Source organism: Homo sapiens, chromosome 6 (genome assembly GCF_000001405.40).
Source record: "Homo sapiens chromosome 6, GRCh38.p14 Primary Assembly".
NCBI lineage: Eukaryota > Metazoa > Chordata > Mammalia > Primates > Hominidae > Homo > Homo sapiens.
The window spans coordinates 6,991,950-7,012,342 of record NC_000006.12 but is presented as its reverse complement, the minus strand read 5'-3'; the positions used below and the strand labels follow the sequence as shown (position 1 = coordinate 7,012,342).

At 43.8% G+C, this 20,393-nt stretch overlaps 1 long non-coding RNA gene across 1 annotated transcript, besides 1 other annotated feature; it reads right to left on the bottom strand.

Annotated features, from left to right (window-relative positions):
- Window positions 10,673-10,967: an enhancer, noted in NCBI's record as "tiled region #13455; HepG2 Activating non-DNase unmatched - State 22:ReprW, and K562 Activating DNase matched - State 12:CtcfO". NCBI's record gives its function as "activates a minimal TATA promoter and a strong SV40 promoter by Sharpr-MPRA in HepG2 and K562 cells {active_cell/tissue: HepG2 | K562}" and the evidence as "EXISTENCE:reporter gene assay evidence [ECO:0000049][PMID:27701403]".
- Window positions 16,518-18,247, bottom strand: LOC105374904 (uncharacterized). Its single transcript, XR_926432.1, has 3 exons — window positions 18,203-18,247; window positions 17,190-17,293; window positions 16,518-17,019 (listed from the first exon to the last, which is right to left on the bottom strand). It is a non-coding gene; the product is annotated as an uncharacterized LOC105374904 (long non-coding RNA).
- Between the last annotated feature and the right edge of the window lie 2,146 nt (window positions 18,248-20,393).

Below are 20,393 nucleotides of genomic sequence, written 5' to 3'. Positions count from 1 at the left end.
ACGTGTGTGTATGTATATATGTATATATACATACGTGTGTGTGTATGTATATATGTATATATACATACACACACACACATACACACACACACACATATATATATATTTTTTATTTTTTTAATTTTTAAAATTGTTTTTTAAGAGACAGGGTCTTGCTCTGTTGCCCAGGCTGGAGTGCAGTGGCATGATCATGGCTCACTGCAGCTTTGGACTCCTGGGCTCAAGTGATCCTCCTGCTTCAGCTTCCCAAGTAGCTTGGACTATAGGCATGTGTCACCATACATGGCTAATTAAAAACAAATTTTAGTAGAAAACAAACACAAAAACAAAATATTTTTAGTAGAGATGAAGTCTTGCTATGTTGCCCAGGCTGGTCTTGAACTCCTGGGCTCGAAGGATCCTTCTCCTGCAGCCTTCCCAAGTGCTGGGATTTCGGGCGTGAGCCACCGCCCTGGCCTCCTGGACTCTGTAAATCTGGCAGACCAGCCCATGCATCATACCCGTGATACCCCTGCCTGTGTCTGTCTTCCTCCTGCTCTTGGTGCTGAGCCCTTGGTCCTGGCCTCCTGCTCGATCTACCCTATGGCCTCCTAGATGTGCTACCTTCTCTCATTTGCTACCTTTATTTGGATCTCTGGTTTTCAGTGTGGTTTCTGGCTTGGCTGGAGCCCAGCCCTCCTGCCAGAGCATGTTGTAGAGACAGGCAGCCCCTTTGCTTTGATGCGACTTTCCTTCAAGTGCGAGAGGCTTGACAGAGAGAACAGGTTGAAGGGACAGTTTCTGAGGGGGCACTGTAGAGGCCAAACCTTCTCTCATGTCCCTGCTAAAAAGCCTCTAGGAAACCTGCAGAAGACCTAGGATCTGAGCCATATTTGTTAAACAAAAACTCTAGTTGCAAAACAGGTTATAAGCCATATATATAAATGCTTGGGAAAAGTGCTGGAAAAATATAAACCAAACTGATCAAAGGAATATTCCGTGCCTCCCTCTATAGTCATTATAGCAGGGACGTACTAATATAATGTGTTTTGTGTATATACTTTTTTATTTTTTTTTTGAGATAAGAGTCTCACTCTTGTCACCCAGGCTGGAGTGCAATGGCCCAACCTCAGCTCACTGCAACCTCTACCTCCCGGATTCAAGCGATTCTCCTGCCTCAGCCTCCCAAGTAGCAGGGATTACAGGCGCCCACCATCATGCCCAGCTAATTTTTGTACTTTTAGTAGAGATGGGGTTTCGTCATGTTGTCCAGGCTGGTCTCGAACTCCTGACGTCAGGTGATCCATCCACCGACCTCCCAAAGTGTTGGGATTACAGGCGTGAGCCACTGTGCCTAGCCATATGTTCCTTTTTTTTTTTTTTAATGGAAAAATGAAACCAAGCTTACAAGTGCTGGAGAGGACAGCCTTTAGTGGTGTCTCTGACAATCCCAACCCAGTTCTGGGGGCTGTCCACTCCGTGGTAAGATCCATAAAAAAAGATTGCAGCGTGGGCTCTGTTGGTTAGGGGCTAGCTTAATACAGTCCAGTATGCTTCCTTAGGCTGCTGAGACACAAGATAGGAAGGCCTCTGGGGAAGATTGGAATAGGTCATATGAGCTTGGCCTACTGGGACATGGGAGAGGATAAAGCAGATGTTGGCTCAATTAACAATTACCTTGTCAGTGAAGTAAGCCGAATATTACTACCACGGGAATTGGAGTAATGCTACAATTTAATTTTTATTATTTAGATTAAATTGTTGTGAACTTACTATATTTTGTTATTGTGGACTTTACTTATCACATACTATAGGTATCACAATGGCAGGGCCCCAGAAATACTGTTTTCTGGGTTCTCCCCAGAGTATGGTTGATTCCTAGTTTAGTAAACTATACAGCTAATGTGTGTAAACTGTCTTAATTACTGTGGTATCTGGCTTTTTTTTTTAATTGTATAAAAACCTTTTTGTAGAGATGAGCTTTCACTATGTTGCCCAGGCTGGTCTTAAACTCCTGAGCTGAAGTGGCATGCTAGGATTACAGCTGTGAGTCACCGTGCCCAGCCAGGTTTCTTTTCTTTCCTTTCTTCCTTCCTTTCTTCCCTTCTTCCTGCCTCCCTGCCTCCCTCCCTCCCTCTCTCCCTCTCTCTTCTCTTCTCTTCTCTTATTTTTTTCTTTTCTTTTCTTAAGGTCTGGCTCTGTTGCTCAGACTGGGATGCAGTGGTACAATCTCAGCTCACTGAAACCTCCTCCTTCCCTGCTCAAACCATCCTCCCAACTCAGCTTCCCTAGTAGCTGGGACCGCAGCCACAGGCCACCATGCCTGGCTAATTGTGTGTATGTGTGTGTGTGTATTTTTTGTAGAGATGGGGTCTCATGATGTTGCCCAGGCTGGTCTCGAACTCCTGGGCTCAAGCAATCCTCCCGCCTCGGCCTCCCAAAGTGCTGGATTACAGGTGTGAGCCACCAAGCCGCACCTCTGACTTTGTTTCATTTTATTTATTTATTTATTTTTTTTTAGACAGCATCTTGCTCTGTTGCCCAGGCTGGAGTGCAGTGGCACGATCTCAGCTCACTGCAACCTCTGCCTCCCAGGTTCCAGCGATTTCCAGCTAATTTTTGTATTTTTAGCAGGGATAGGGCTTCACCATGTTGGCCAGGCTGGTCTGGAGCTCCTGACCTCAAGTGATCCGCCTGCCTCCGCCTTGCAAAGTGCTAGGATTACAGGCATGAGCCACCACACCTGGCCTGACTTTGTTTTAATTACCCAGTTTCTACATTCTCTTGACTCACCTGCAGATAGAACAGTAAATCTCATTTCTTATTGGCCAATTAGATGTTGTTTTATGATTTTTTAACAAATAGCAGGTTTTCTGGTCTCATCCGCCTTGATGTTGGGATTGCAAAAGGCTCTATCCATCATTTGTGGATATTGTCAAACATATTTGTAGGTGCATGCTTTCCTTGGTCTACCATAATTCTCTTTTCAAATCTTGTTGTTCTTCTGCAGGCATAAGAAGGAACCACTTCATAGCTTTGGAATTGGAGGTAGAAATAACACTCTACTGAAGAATCGAACTTGGTTGCTGTGTTTATAGAGAGCAGTCTCTGACCCGAGGAATGTTCAGATCCTTGTGCTAACGAGCTGTGTTATAATGGAGTTCTCTTGGTCTTAGAACACTGCATTTTGCTGACAGAATTCCCTCAGCTCCATCATGAAACACGTTTTGGTGCCAGAGAGATTGAAATCTGTTGAAACAAAATGATTTCCTCAGTTGGTGATGCATTTGGGCATTTTCCATTCTTGCTAATGAAAAAAAGAGTCTTTGCTCATGTGACTGAGAAAGCCTGGTGAAATATGCCACGAACATCCTGAACTGAGTCCTGGCCCCAGAGCACTGATGGCGAAGTCTTATATTTTGACATGAAGCCCAACATGGCGTAAAGAGCTAGCCAGCATTGTAATGCTGCCTGAGTTGGTCTTTGGCCTTCTCTAGCTTGACTTTTCTGGGGATTGACTACCCCTGGATGCCTGGAGCTTTTCAAGAGGCGATTGTTTCCTTGTGGCTTGTCTATGCTGACAATTCCTGGAGACTCCACCTCCTCTTTGAGTTCCCCTGGGCAGGCTCTATTCCCTAAGAGCGCCACTCTAAGCTTATTGTTTCATGGAAAACCAGTCTTTCAAGACAAAGGGTTGTGGGTCAACAATGGCTTTCCCTTGGAGCTATTTTTATTTTACTAGGAGATTCCTGGTAAAATTACCAGTGCCTTCATCGAAGTAAATAAATCTGTGATGTAGGGAATTTGAGGTATGTGGCATGACAAGTTGGGTAGAAAATTTTGCCTGGGAGAGGGGTTCTTTTCAACAGCTCCTTCTCCCCAAACGTAGGAACTGAACATTTTACAAACCATCCTAGTTAAGTCTCTTCATGTCTGTTTCCTCATCTATAAATAAATATAGATGATGATTTAATAATTGTTTCCTGCTCTAACATTTTCTGATTCCATGAAATAAGTGATTTCCTGGTACCAGTGAGATAGAGGTCATCTGCTTTATTTTCCTAGACACATATGGCTCACCAATTCTTAAAATTTGTATTGAATTTTTGTACACCCAGGTTCACAGTAGCATTATTCACAATAGTCGACAGGTGGAAGCAACCCAAGTGTCTACTCATGGATGAATGAATAAACAAAATATGGTGTATACCTACACGGACTATTATTCAGCCTTAAAAAGGAAAGAAATCTTGCTACATACTACATCAATGAAGCTTGGAGACATTATACTAAGTGAAGTAAGCCAGTCACAAAAAGACAAACATTGTATGATTCTACTTTTTATTTTTATTTATTTTATTTTTTTTGAGATGGAGTCTCACTCTGTTGCCCTGGCTGGAGTGCAGTGGCGTAATTTCCGCTCACTGCAGCCTCTGCCTCCTGGGTTCAAGTGATTCTCCTGCCTCAACCTCCTGAGTAGCTGGGATTACAGGCACATGCCACCACACTCAGCTAATTTTTGTATTTTTAGTAGACACAGGGTTTCACCATATTGGCCAGGCTGGTCTCGAACTCCTGACCTCAAGTGATCCTCCTGCCTCAGCCTCCCAAAGTTCTGGGATTTCAGGCATGAGCCACCACACCTGGCTACTTTTTATTTTTTTTTGAGAGATAGGGTTTCTTTTTCTTTTTCTTTCTTTTCTTTTGAGACAAGGTCTCACTCTGTTGCCAAGGCTGGAGTGCAGTGGTGCAATCGTGACTCATTCCAGCCTCAACCTCTGGGCTCAAGTGGTCCTCCCACTTCAGCCTCCCAAGAAGCTGGGACCACAGGCCTATGCCACCATGCCTGACTAATGTTTTGATTTTTTTTTTTTTTTTTTTGCAAAAACGGTCTTGCTATGTTGCCTAGGCTGGCCTCAAAATCCTGGGCTCCAAGCCATCCTCCTGCCTCAGCCTCCCAAAGTGTTAAGATTACAGGTTTGAGCCGCTATGCCCGGTCAAGACAGGGTTTCACTGTGTTTCCCAGGCTGGAGTGCAGTGGCGTGATCATAGCTCTTGTGTAGCATTGAACTTCTAGGCTCAAGCAATCCTCCTACCTCAGCCTCCCAAGTAGCTGGGACCTCAGGCACGTACCATCACACCTGGATAATTTTTTTATTTTTAATTTTTTGTAGACTTGGTGGTCTGTGTTGCCCAGGCTGGTCTCAAACTCCTGGCTTCAAGTGATCCTCCTGCCTAAGCCTCCCAAAGTGCTGGGATTATAGGCATGAGCCATAGTGCCTGGCCCAGATCATTTTTTAAAATTGTAGGTCATGAAACAGGAAGGTGCATGACATATTTGCCAAGTATCGCTACTCACTTAAATGTAACAGATGTGGTCTGATACAGAAAATGTGTGGGTGATGGAATGCTCTCCTCCTTTCTCATTCTCGTGATTATGATAAAAAGGTCTAAGCAAGCATGTTTGTACCCCTCAAGCACTGAATTTAGATTTGGAATTTCCTTTTAAAAAAAACACTTAGTATAAAATGTAAAGGAACTTATTAAAAGGAAATAATGAGACTTATTTCTTTCTAAATAAGAGTCTCTGCATGCATCTGAGATGAGTCCAGAGGTCACTGTTTAGCATGACCTTGGAACACTCATCATGTCGCTGCACAGATAGGAAAATGGCATCAAGGCAGGGCTGGTGGGAGCTGGAAGGGAAAGCATCTAGACAAAGCCAGCGTGGTTATTTAATTTTCCCTGCCTTTTTTTTTTTTTTGAGATGGAGTCTTACTCTTCTCCCAGGCTGGAGTGCAGTGGCACAATTTCAGCTCATTGAAACCTCCATCTCCTGGGTTCAAGCGATTCTCCTGCCTCAGCCTCCCGAGTAGCTGGGATAACAGGCATACGCCACCAGACCTGGCTAATTTTTGTGTTTTTTTTAGTAGAGATGAGGTTTCGCCATGTGACTAGTCTAGAAATCCTGACCTCAGGTGATCCACCCACCTTGGCCTCCCAAAGTGCTGGGATTACAGGTGTGAGTCACCGTGCCCGGCCTAATTTTCTCTTAATGCAACTTTTTTTTTTCCCAGCACAGTAAAATACATATTTACAAATAATTTTCCTTAACCATTTTTTTTATTTTGGTAAAATATACATAATATTTGCCATTTTGACCATTTTTAAGTGTGCGGGTCAGTGGCAGTAAGCACATTCCACACTCACATCGTGGTGCAGCCAGTACCACCATCCGTCTCCAGAACTTTTTCATCTCCCCAAACTGAAACTCCATCCCCATGAAACAGCAGCTCTCCACTCCCCCTCCTACAGCCCCTGGCAATCACCATTCTACTTTCTGTCTCCATGAGTTTGACCACTCTAGGAACCTCATTCAAGTGGAATCAGACAGTCTGTGTCTTTTCGTGCCTGGCTTATTTCACTGAGCATAACATCATCCAGGTTCATCCATGTTGCAGCGTGTGACCCGATTGCCTTCCTTTTACAGGCTGAAGGGTATTTTATTGCGCGCATCTACACATTTTGTTTATCCCTTCATCTGTCAATGTATATTTGGGTTGTTTCTCATTATAGGTAATTTTGGAAATTACAGAAACATGTAAAGAAAAAGAGAAAAATACAGCTGTGTCATAACCTCATTGCTGGAGGCAGCCGCTGTTAACATCTTGTGGCGAACACTGAGCTTCATGGCTGACTCTTCACAATTGTAAGTGATGAATATCTTCATCTGAATTTCTGATCATGATTCTTATAAAGGGAATAACTGTGGGAGGGAGTGACGGAGGTGGGCACGGGTTGAAAGCCCATCTATCTGGGAGTATGTTCACTACTTGGGCGACAGGATTATTAGAAGCCCAAACCTCAGCAGCAGGTAATATATCCACGTAATAAACCTGCATATGTACCCCCTGAATCCAAAACAAACAAATAAGTAAATAAAAGAGAATCACTGGGCCAATGGATATGGATAACTTAGAGTACTTGATGGACAATGCCAAAAGGGCTTCCAGAAATAACTCTGAAATTTTAGACCTGGGAACTGAGGAGCACAGAGGCTTCCTTTGTGTCTTTGTGATTCTCTTTACAGTGAGAAAATATGCCAATAAAAAGCTGAATTTATGCATTTAGCTGAATAGTTTCACATGTGCAAACTCTTGGTGACACACAAATAAAATACTGAATGCTTATTTTACTTTTTTTTTTTAGTGATGGGGATCTTGCTATGTTGCCCAGGCTGACCTTGAACTCCTGACCTCAAGCTGCCCTCTTGCCTCAGCCTCCCGAGTTGCTGGGATTACAGGTGTGAGCTGCTGCACCTGGCCGATTTAGTTTTCTGTATGAGATTTGGTACTCTGAATATTTCTTTCATCCAGGAGAGAGTTATTGCTTCTATGTGCAGATCTTATTTGCATTTGGGATCAGGGACTGGAAAGGGCTCAGGGGTTTATATCATTGCACCGATTTACAAGAGGTGTTGACAGCGGGGAGGAGGATCTGAGATCAGGGACATCACGAGGAGGCTGTGCTGAGCCTCATTTCCTGCTGCCTTGAGCAACGTCTCCCATTCCAGTGACTGTGGGAGGGCTGTGCCTCATGGGAGAAGGCTGCTTTATAGTCTGGGCCTCAGCCCCACGCTCCGGGACTCTCCATGTGAGGTTGCAAACCAGCCCAGCAATGGTCCTGGGTCCAGATGAGCCTTTGTCAACAATGGGCAACCACTTTGAGATACCAGCTTGCCCAGACTGGGCAGTTTCTTTCCAGAGGCAATGTGGTTTTGTTGATGGAGCGCCTCACTGAGCATCGGAAGTCCAGCCCTGCCATTCTTTAACTTGGTGACCTTGAGGATGTTGTGGGCTGCTTTGAGTCTTGTTCTGGTTTCCTCAGTGAGAATCAATGCAGAAAGTTGTATTAAAGGCACTTGGTAACCAGGAAAGGTCTAAATACACATCTGATATTGTTATTACTCCAGAAGCAATTATTTCACGCTGCAAAGGTGGAGGTATTTAACAACTTGGATAGCAACTGACTTTCTGAGATTTTATAATCATTGTAACAATATCACTTAAAAAATATAGCATTTCTTACTCATATTATTGCTTGATGTATTTCATTTAATGCCATTTTACATTTGCCAGGTTCTGTTACCCACGTTGTCTCATACAGCAACACCATGAATAGGTGCTTCCACTTCTATTTGCAGAGGAACGTGATGTCCCATGAGGTTTAGGGATGTATTCGAGCTCACACAGCAGCAGAGCTAGGGAGAAACGCAGGGCTCCTGGATTCAAGCCCAGCATATTCTATAGCAAACCCCCAAACCATAACTTCCTCAGACTGGAAGATTCCTGTGGGCATTTCCTGCTTTACCTTGTGTAACCTCGGGTAAGTCACTGCACACTGAGGACCAGGCAAGCTGGAGTTCAAGGGACACAAAAGTTCTTCCCAGATGTAAAATTCTGAATTTCTCTGGCATTGCCTCTCCAGGCAGTGTTTGCGGGTTTTCCTTTTGTCGCTGTTTTACAGGACCATGACTTCCCGCTGTGCCAGGAGTAACGGAGAGGACAGAACTGAGTCGTGAACACATTCCACTGCACCCCACTCCACCCAGTGTAGACTACACACAATATGCTTCTTTTTGTTGTTGTTAATTTTAAAGGCAAGAGGTTTATTGTTTATTAGCCATTCCGAGACAGTCTATTTCTAGCCGTTATTGCCTATTTTGCAAACACTCTTTAGGGATATGTACATATTGTGGTGTTTGACCCTGCAAATAAGGGTTTCTTATTATCCACAAAGGCTCACACTGCCATATGAAAAAGCGACATTAATATCTTACATTTTCCCTCCCTGTGGCTAATGCTAACCGGCAATCTGTGTTCACCATTTTCAGACTGTTCTCGCAGGGAGGAAGAAAAAGGGCTTCTTATGCTATTTGTGAGCGTGGGACGTGGCAGAAAGTTGAAGGAAAGGTAAATGGTTAAGGTTTTAGTGCTTTTTCCATTTTCAGATGTGTGGAAATCCTTGCTGGGCACAGGAGTGGGAGTAACCAAACTTTGGTGTGCTGGGCCTGACGTTATGCACACTTATAATGCTATCCAAACTTGGCCTCGGCATGGGCCTCCAGAACAGCCCTCTGTGAGCGCTGGCCGTGGAAAACCATCTACCGAGACCAGCAAACCCAGAGTCTACTCAATACCAGGAATTGTCCCGCCCAGAGCAGTTCTGATCTCTGTGGGGTTGGGTGATGCTAATCAAGGAAATTATAGGCTGTCCAGCCACCAGGCCTTTTAAAAAGATTATGGGGTGACTTACCGATCTTGAGGTGGGTCAGAGGTTTTGAGGGAAGGTTACATGTTAAGCCTGTAGTTAGCCTTGAAAAGGCCTGGCTTAGACTCTCAGGGCTCACGAGATTGGACTTGGAATCTCAGAGAGATGTAGGTACAGTGGGGAAAGTAACAGGCCAAAAGAGATCTACCTGGGCTCTTGTCCTGGTTCCAACTCAGCCAGCGAGTGGATTTGGTCGCTTATCCTCTGTGAGCCGCGGCTGGCTCATTCGCGAAGTGGGGGTTGTCTAGCCCTTCCATCCTATGGGGCAGGGTACTGCAGCTCAGCAAGCACAGTGACGTGCTCAGATTTCCCCGGTGGAGTAGAGTCAGAGCCTGGACTACCGCCCACGTGTTCTGATGCCCAGGCCAGGACACCTCCTATGGCCAATGTCATTTCATTTCAGTGATTCTCCATCAGATTTTGACCTGATATCATTTCATTTCAGTGATTCCCCATCAGATTTTTTACACCCCTTTGGCAGCTATTCTGCTGCTTCAGAGTCTTCTTGTAATGCATTTCCTACGTAATGAAAGAGGTGTCACTGGGTGTCACAACCACGAAAAGAGTGAATAGAAAAGAAGGAGTTTGGGAAACTTCAGTGTGAATGATGACCATTGCCCCTTGTTTTTGTGCCCCCCAACTTCCTACCTGGAAGTCCTAATCTCCAGTACCTCAGAAGGTGACCTTGGAAATAGGGTCACTGCAGGCGTAATTAGTTTAAATGAGGTCACACTAGAGTAGAGTAAGTGCCTAATGGGATATGACTGGTGTCCTTATAAAAGGGAAATTTGGACACAGAACACACACAGGGAGAATGCCATGTGAAGATGAAGGCAAAGGCCAAGCGCAGTGGCTCACGCCTGTGATCCCAACACTCTGGGAGGCTGAGGTGTAGGAAGATCTTGAGCACAGGAGTTGGAGTCCGGCCTGGGCACCATGGCAAAACCCTGTCTCTACCAAAAAAAAAGAAAAAAAATCAGCTGGGCATAGTGACATGCACTTGTAGTCCCAGCCACTTGGGAGGCTGAGGTGGAAGGATGGCTTGAGCCTGCGAGGTCAAGGCTTCATTGAGCTATGATAGCATCACTGCACACCAGCCTGGGAGACAGAGTTGAGACCCTGTCTCAAAAAAAAAAAAAAAAAAAAAAAATAGGCTGGGCGTGGTGGCTCATACCTGTAATCCCAGCACTTTGGGAGGCTGAGATGGGAGGATTGCCTGAGCCCAGGAGTTCAAGACCAGCCTGGGCAACATGGTGAGACCCCGTCTCTAAAAATAAAAATAATAAAAATAAAAATAAATAAAATAAAAAGATAAACACAGAGATTGAGAGGATGCTTCCACAAGTCATAGGACACCAAAGATTGCTGGCAAACCACCAGAAGCTGAGAAAAAGTGATGGAACAGGTTCTCCCCCACAGCCTTTGAAAAGAAGTGTTGAATTCAATAAGCAGGAGGCTGTTGGCCTGAGGCTGTCTCTAAGAGTTCCCACACAACAAGCCACAACCTAACTTAATAGTACATTTTTGTAACAAATAGGTTTCAGCCAATCAGCAGCAGCCAACAAATCACACCATGCATTCTCCCTGTGTGTGTTCTGTGTCCAAATTTCCCTTATTATAAGGACACCAGTAATATCCCATAAGGCAAATGCCTAGTTATAGCCAATCAGGTGATTTGTCTACTTTGCCTCCCCATCTTTGGCCTATAAAAGCTCTCTGTTCACAAGGCTAGGTGGGGTTCTCTGAACCTCTTCTTTTTCAGATGGCTGCCCTATTCATGAATCATTCTTTGGTCATGTAAACTCTGCTAAATTTAATGTGTCTGAAGTTTTCCTTTTAGTAGAAGCAACTCTGCTAACACCTTTATTTTGGACTTACAGTCTCTAGAACTTTGAGTTGATAAACTTCTGTTAAGCCCCCCAGTCTATGAATTTGTAATGCAGTCTGACATTTGCAATGCACTAGCAAAGTAATGCACTCTTCTCATTCCATGCTCTTCTCCGAGAGCACTTCAGTGGTTGCCCATGGTATTGCTTTCTTCAGCTATTCTCTCACCCAAATGTTTAACACCTTTCTAAAATATTTCTTTTTAGTACTGGTAACAGGCAAAAGACGTTAAGGAAAAAATAAATACTCCATTTAATTTTAAGACTTAAAATTAAGTTTAGTTTTAGTTTACTTTCTTTTTTTTGACACTGAAAATGCAAATACTCTTTCTGAAACAATGTATTTGACAAATTTTCTCAGCGATTTTATTGGTGTCCTGCTGTCGAGGAGAATAACCTAGGGTCATTTATTCCTCAGTCCAGTCCCAGAGTTTCTATGGCCTGGGAAATTTGTGTCAAACTCTGCCTATAACAGAGACTGTGCTCCTTTCCCTCCCTCCCTCCCTCCCTCCCTTCCTCCCTTCCTCCTTCCCTCCCTTCCTTTTTTCACAGAGTTTCTCTCTTGTTGCCCAGGCTGGAGTGCAATGGCACAATCTCAGCTCACCCCAACCTCCACCTCCTGGGTTCAAGTGATTCTCCTGCCTCAGTCTCCCAAATAGCTGGGATTACAGGCATGTGCCACCACGCCCACCTAATTTTTGTATTTTTAGTAGAGATGGGGTTTCTCCATGTTGGTCAGGCTGGTCTCAAACTCCCGACCTCAGGTGATCTGCCCGCCTCGGCCTCCCAAAGTGTTGGGATTACAAGCGTGAGCCACCGCGCCTGGCCAGAATGTGCTCTTTTCCTTCAGCCTAAGTATTCCGCACATTTGGGAGCCCTGTCCAAAGGGCTGCCACGGCACCACGGTGGCTGCTTCTGTGGAGCAGCTGCTGAGGCATCCTACTTCTCCTTTGGGTCTTTTGAGGTCCACCCTTTGTTTGTGTCTTTGGTCAGTGCTGACCATGCAGAAGCCACGTCAGAGAGAGCCTGGCTACCCCGAGGGGTGGTGCTGGCTTGTGACCACCACACTCTTAAGGGTTATCCTCAGCTTTCTAGGACCTGAAGCATAATGTTGTCCACTCACCCAGAACTCTTCCAGCTGCGCAGCTTTTGCTAACAAAACTTTTCAGGGAAGGATCATCAGCCTGCATGTCAAGAGCTGCGTATCTTCCCAGGGACTGGGGAACCCATGTTCCCAGCACCAGTGCTGCTTAGTGAGGGGGGAGTCAGAATAGAGGGAGCTGAACCCCAGGACCACAGCTGCCCCTCGAAACCATGAAGTCCTCAGGAGGCTTGCTGAATTGAAGCTGCCATACCCCATGCAGACGGCCTCCATCTGTTGCCAAAGCTCTTTCAGACAGGTTCAAATACAGTTAATTCAGCTACACCTTTCCCTAGATTAACTGTAGAGTTAACTATATGAAATTGCCATATTTGTGGGTCAAAAACAGTCCAATATTACAACTTCATGTAGTTCCACCTAGTAGTTTTCTTTTAAAACTTTCTTTTTTTTATTTTTTTTTGAGATGGGTTATACTCTGTCACCCAGGCTAGGATGCCATGGCGAGATCAGGGCTCAATGTAGCCTCGACCTCCTAGGCTTAAGTGATCCTTCCACCTGAGCCTCACAAGGTGCTGGGATTACAAGCATGAGCCACTATGCTCAGCCGCTTTTAAAATTTTCTTTTTCTTTTTTTTTGAAACAGAGTCTCACTCTGTTGCCCAGGCTGGAGTGCAGTGGCACGATCTTGGCTCACTGCAACCTCTGTGTCCCAGGTTCAAGTGATTCTCATGTATCAGGCTCCCTAGCAGCTGGGATTACAGGCACACACCACCATGCCTGGCTAATTTCTGTATTTTTAGTAGACATGGGGTTTTGCCGTGTTGGCCAGGCTGATCTCGATCTCCTGACATCAACTGATCTGCCCACCTCAGCCTCCCAAAGTGCTGGGATTACACGCGTGAGCCACCATGCTCGGCTCTTTTTCAATTTTCAATTTTCAATTTTAAACTTCTAAAAAGCAAAAGGTTGCAAAAACAGTGTTAAGAGGTCCCATGCACTCATCACTCAGCTTCTGCAATGGTGACATCTTATGTAGTATTATATGCTGATCAAAACCAGGAAATTGGTATTGGCATCATACAGCTAATTAGTTTACAGATCTTGCAATGAACTGGTTTACAGGCTTTGCTTAGATTTTTACCAGCCTAATGGCTTTTGGGGGCTACCTCCTAGTGACTTCCACACTGACACTAAACAATCTTTTACAGTCTATTTATTTTACAGATAACAGATCACTTATTTTGTTTTTAAGTTTTTGCAAATATTATGTTCTCAAGATAAAAATTCAAATGATATAATTTTGTATAAAATAGAACACGAGAGCTTCCCTCCTCTCTTTTCTCTCTCTCTGTAGAAGTAGCTACCATTGGAAAGCTGATGTAAATCTATCTTTGCTTTTTCCTATGGATACACACACACAAATACATATGCAATTTCTTTTACAAAAACAATCATATTTTATAAACGTTCTCTTAATATGTTATGAACAAATTAATTGCAATAGTACCACGATTTTTGTTTATTACCATTTTCTTTTATTTGTTTCACTGAGTGAAAGATCAAGTTCTGAGAGTGATTTACTCTGCCCTGGCAAGTGAGTCTTGAGTGCTCTCCTTTAATCCGGCCTCCACGCTGCAGATGACAGTGTCTTCCTGGCAGGATATTCTGTCTCTTTGTCATTTCAGATTCCCAAATTGATTGCATCATTCTCCACCAGAGCCCGAATTTCTGCTATGACCTCTGCAGCTTCTGGGCTGCTCTGCTCCACTCCACTCACTCACTCTCTCCATCGCGGTCAGCCAGGTTTGCTGACCCATCTATGAGCTTCTTTGAAACTCAGCACATTTATGATTTAGGATTTCTCATCTGTCAGACCTGCATCTCTCCCAAGATTGTTTAACTTGGGACACGGTTATTAAATCTCTGTGGACTTCTGTTTTCTCATCCGTAAAAGGATCACCTACAGGGCTACAGGCTCTAGAGCAGGGGGAGGCACAGTTTTTCTGTAAAGGTCCAGGGAAGCAGGCCAGGTGCAGTGGCTCACACCTGTAATCCCAGTACTTTAGGAGGCCGAGGCAAGAGGATCACTTGAGACCAGGGGTTTGGGGCCAGCCTGGGTAATATAGTGAGATCCCATTTCTACTTAAAGAAAAAAAATTAAAAGGTCCAGGGAAGCAAACACTTTAGACTTTGCCAGCCATATGGTTTTTGTTGCAGCCAATCAGCTCTGTCATCGTGGTGCAAGAGTAGCCACACACGATAGGTAAATAAATAGACAGGGCCGCATTCCAACAAAACTTTACATGTGGACACTGAAATCTGAATTTCATATTGTTTTAACGCACCACAAATTCTTCTTCTTTTTCTCAACTGTTTAAAAATGTAAAGAATGTTTTTGACTCACAGGTGGTACAAAAACAAAGGTGGTGGGCAGGACTTAGCCCATGGGCTGTAATTTGCCAACCCCCTGGTCTAGGAGGAAGCACCTAGGCTTTGGGGTCAGATAAACTAGGATTTCAGTAGCTTTTGTTATCTATCTTTTGTCACCTGCTAACTGTGTGACCTTGAGCAGGTTATATAAGCCTCTTAAACTTCAGATCTGGAAGGGTTGCTATAAGCATTAGAGATAACCTATGTAAAGTCTGTGACACGCAGAGGGCACTCAGTAAGTGCGAGTTCCTTTTCCACGTGCTTGAGGATATTTCCAAGACTAGAATTCAGTAACCCAGAGCACAAAGTCCATTTCCATTGTAAAGCGTTTTGGGGTGAAGATGACTGAGAGGTGTGTTACACTGGTTTAAACATACTCTGCAGATTCTTTGGCTTAATTGCAAGTGTACACATGTGTGCATAGAGATTTTATGTTTACGCACAGATCCCATGCCCCTCCATGGCGACAGGGAGCAAGTGACCTCTCACAAGGGGTCCTGAATTTTAGATTGTACAGGAGATGCCTCCAATTTAGTAATTTCTTACTCTTTTATAACTTTATAGCAATTTGTGGCATGCTTCTTAAATCAAGAAGTTTCAACAAAATAAAAAAAATCAATATGCATTATATATTCTATAAAAGAGACACTTCAGTAACTCAAAAAGTCTATGTTCTTCAAGTGCCCCGCCACAAAGGGTTATAGCCCTTGGATGAAGCATCTTTCTAGTCCTCTTCTGAACTTACCCACTTTCCTGTTCAGACAGGCCCCATGCTGGGACATTTCAACCCACTGTAGAATTTAAAGTGACTTACATGTTGTCGTAGTCCATTTTGTGCGGCTATAACAGAATGCCTGAGACTCAGTAATTTATAAAGAAGAGACATTTATTTCTCAGTTCTGGAGGCTGGGAAGTCCAAGATCAAGGCTCCAGCATCTGGCAAGGGCTGCTCTCTGCTGCCAAGATGGCACTTGCTGTGTCCTCTGGAGGAGAGGGACCTGTGTCCTCACATAGCAGAAGAGCAGGAAGGAATGAACCCACTACTGAAAGCCCATTTTGAAAGGGAACTAATTCATTCATGAGGGCAGAGCCCTTGTGACCTGAAGATCTCTTCAGAGGCTCCACCTCCCAACACTGCTGCATTGGGGATTAAGTTTCCCACGTATGAATTTTGGGAAACACATTCATAACATAGCACATATATTATTTCATTCGACACCTAGAACTGGTTTTATTAGTATCTTTTTGTGTGATGGAACAGGCTCAGAGAGGTTAAAATGATTACCAACAGCACACAGCTGTAGGAGGAACTAGAATGCAGACCCTGGATTCCTGGTCTAGTCCTCTGGCCAATGTGTGGCCTTCTTCCAACACCACTTCTAAATATTATATTTGGTCCATTTCACCTCTTTATTATCTAGTTTTTGAAGATATGGTCTGTATCTTTTTTGTATTACATGAGAGATTCTAGACAGTTTTACCTAATGCAGTTTTCAACAAATACAGACACTCCTCTACTTACGATGAGGTTATGTCTGGATAAGCTCATCCTAAGTTGAAAATATTGTACCTTTTGTTTTGTTGTTTTCTGAGACAGGGTCTGGCTCTGTTGCCCAGGCTGGAGTGCAGTGGCATGATCTTGGCTCACTGCAGCCTCCACCTCCCAGGCTCAAGTGATACTCCCACCTCAGCCTCCTGAATAGCTGGCACTATAGGCATGCACCACCATACCTGGCTAAGTTTTATCTTTTTTTGTAGAGACAGGGTTTCACTATGTTGTCCAAACTGGTCTTAAACTCCTAAGCTCAAGTGACCTGCCTCAGCCTCCCGAAGTGCTGGGGTTACAGGCGTGAGCCAGTGTGGCCGGCGAAAATATTGAACCTTTGACTTATGGTATTTTCAATTTAGGATGGGGATATCAGACATATCCCCATATGCTGAGATGTGTAGAGAATACCTACTGCTTTTGCACCATTGTAAAGGAAAAAAAATCGTAAGTGGAACTGTTGCAAGTCAGGAACTGGCTGTAGTCATTTCTTCATTCACATATTCAGCAGCTGTGCTCAAGTCATTGCCCTTCAGTTAGTCATTTGTAAGCATTTGCTGGGTGCTTCTGTGAGCTCAGGGAAGAGATCACAAATGCTGTGGAGGATATGCAGGAGGTTTTCCAATGTAGCTGGTTTTCCAACATGAGGCAAGAGCCTCAGCCTTAGACAGACTCAGGCCCAGGTCTCAAAGCTGGTTAAACTCAGGTCTAAAGTTCCTTAATCTCTACAGGTCTTGTTTCCTCACCTGTAAAGTGGAGAAATGAATATCTACTTCATAATAATGTTGTAAGAACACAAGTGCTTGGTTTACAAACAGTGCTGATGAAATAGTAGCTATTATCAATCATAAGCAATGAATACCGTATTAGGCAGGATAGAGTAGGTTGCACGGGGTTCCCCAGCTCAGTGTCTTACCACGTTATCCCTCATATATTGATGCCCTACGACCATTGTGGATGCGCTGAGGCTCCGCTCCAAGTCATCTTCCCTTGGGACTCATGCTGACTGAAAGGTTGTATCTGGAACACCAGAGAGAAGCTGAGGACAGAGAGAGCTTGGCAGAGCCCACACCGGCTGTTAGAGCCCAGGGTGACCTGCGTTACTTCTCCTCACCTTTCGTGGGCCAAAGCAAGTCACATGGCCAAGCCTGACAGGACTGGGAAGAGAAAATAGAATTCTCTCCTGGCAGAGGCAGTGAATATTTTGGAACACTGTTACAGTTTACCACAATATAATATATGCAAAATAACCTGTAGAGACTACCAGAAAGTGTGGTACAGAAGAGACATGCAAATATGGAATCAACAGTAACACTGAGTGGGCTTTTAGACTTAATTGCTTCCAGAACAAACAATTCTTTTTTTTTAATTAAACATTTTTTTTTGACTGGGCATGGTGGCTCATGCCTATAATCCCAGCACTTTGGGAGGCCGAGGGGGAGGATCCCTTGAGTCCAGGAGTTCAAGACCAGCATGGGCAAGATGGCGAGATCCCATCTCTATTTTTTTCTAATTAAATAATAATAATAATAATAATAAATAAATTCATTTTTTTGAGACAGAGTCTTGCCCTATCACCCAGGTGGGAGTGCAGTGGTTTGATCATAGGTCACTGCAGCCTCTAACTCCTGAGTTCAAGTGATCCTTCCACCTCAGGCTCCCAGGTAGCTGGGACTGCAGGCATGAAGCACCGTGCCCAGCTAAGTTTTTAACTTTTTTTCTAGAGATGGGGTCTCACTATGTTGCCCAAGCTTGTCTTGAACTCCTGGCCTCAAGCAATACCCCCACCTTGGCCTCCCAAAGTGTTGGGATTACAGGCGTTAGCCACCATGCCCAGCTGAGAACAAATGATTCTTTAAGAATTTTCTGAGAAAGGCTTGTCATGCTCACTCTCTTGTCAGGCTTATATAAAATCAAAGATTACTGTACATGCACTCCAACAGTTGTGAAATACAGAGTTCCAGGACAGCCAAGCTTCTGTTTATCTTCCTCAAGGCTTTCTGAGGCAATCATCAATCAAGTTAAATAACTTCTTGTCATTCAACCTAGGTTTTTAAAATGCATTTGGAGAAATCAATAGCATTTTGGAGACTCATTAATTTGAATGTGAGGGCACACACACACACACACACACACACAGACACACACACACAGTTGTCAATCTTTTGGATCCTGTATCAGTCAGGTCTTTTAGTTACAAACAACAGAATCCATGCTAGGAAAAAAAAAAATCTAGTAATAGCAACTAAGTAGCTCAGAAAATTTCCAGGAGAGCTTTGTTCTTAAAAACAATAGCTGAACTACATTGATCACATTGCCAGATTGTTCCAGTAGAATACTGACTGCTGCCAACACTGGGTGTGAGGCATTGCTGTGAGAACCTCTGCCAAGTTACCCTTGAAAGGTAGACATCTCCCTTCCTTGTGCTCTGCCACCTTGCCAGAATGGATCCTGGGTGACTTCCTCTGTTTTTGAAAAAACATCTCTTTTATTATTTTTTTTATTATTTTTTTTGAGATTGACTCTCGCTCTGTCGCCCGAGCTGGAGTGCCTTGGCACAATCTCGCCTCACTGCAACCTCCGCCTCCCGGGTTCAAGTGATTCTCCTATCTCGCCCTCCTGAGTAGCTGGGACTACAGGTGTGTGCCACCACACCCGGCTGATTTTTTTTAATTTTTAGTAGAGACGGGGTTTTACCGTGTTAGCCAGGATGGTCTCAATCTCCTGACCTTGTGATCTGCCCGCCTCGGCCTCCCAAAGTGCTGGGATTACAGGCGTGAGCCACTGCGCCCGGCTCTTTTATTTTTAAAAATAATCTTCTCCAGGTCAAAATCACATGCATTCACCACCTTAACCAAGTGATCAAATTTAGCATCTCCAAAATGAGAAAATTTGATATAGCATGTGTCATAATGTGATCCATTATGACATACGCAGCATCACCTGTGACATTCTTTTATCAGAAGGCACTAATATCTGGTGGACTTTATTTTTTTGATGATAGCAGCTATGGATAATCATTGCCTAGACCCATTAATTCCTTGGAAGTTACAAAATGGTGATATTGTAATTGTGCCATTTCTTTTAAAACAAAACCTTTTTATTTTATTTTATTTTATTTTTTTTAGAGACAGGGTCTTGCTGTCACCCATGCTAGAGCACAGTGGTGCAATCATAGCTTACTGTAGCCTCAATATTTTGGGCTCAAGAGATCTTTCCACCTCAGCCTTCTGAGTAGCTGAAACTACAGGTGAGTGCCACCATGCCTGGCTAATTAAAATTTTTTTTTTAGTAGAGATGAGGTCTTGCTATGTGGCTCAGGTTGGTCTCAAACTCCTGAGCTCAAGCAATCCTTCTGCCTCAGCCTTCCAAAGTGCTGAGATTACAGGCATGAGCCACTGTGCCCAGCCTATTTAAATTTTTTTTTTTTTGGAAATTGGAATAGTTTAATAAGGACACTCTTCCCCTTAGCTATTTTTAATTACAGGTTGGTCAGGCTATAATAGAAAGGCAAGATAAATGTTTGGTTCTTTCCCTTTATTAGTTCTTAAATTCATGAAAATTGGTTCTCTAGCACCCTATCATCCTTTAAAGGTGGCCAATTCATTTTTTTAAAAAAGAAAATCAATATGACTTCATGCATTAAAACATATTTGAGCTTCAGTCAATTGTAGTTCTTTTTTCTTTCTTTCTTTCCTTTTTTTTTTTTTTTTTTCTTTTTTTGAGACAAGAGTCTTGCTCTGTCACCCAGGCTGGAGTATAGTGGCATGATCTCGGCTCACTACAACTTCCTCCTCCTAGGTTCAAGTGATTCTCCTGCCTCGGCCTCCCAAGTAGCTGGGATTACAGGCAAGCACCACCATGCCCGGCTACTTTTCTTATATTTTTAGTAGAGACAGCGTTTTGCCATGTTGGCCAGGCTGGTCTCGAACTCCTGACCTCAAGTGATCCACCTGCCTTCGCCTCCCAAAGTGCTGGAATTACAGGTGTGAGCCACCGTGCCCAGCCCCAGTTGTAGTTCATTTTTGAGGCTCAAATTGTTCTATCTTTTTCTAGTGGAAACCACTTTAATTTGGTTCTTGAGTTCTTTTGACATGACTTTTGTGGTCTTTATTTTTTG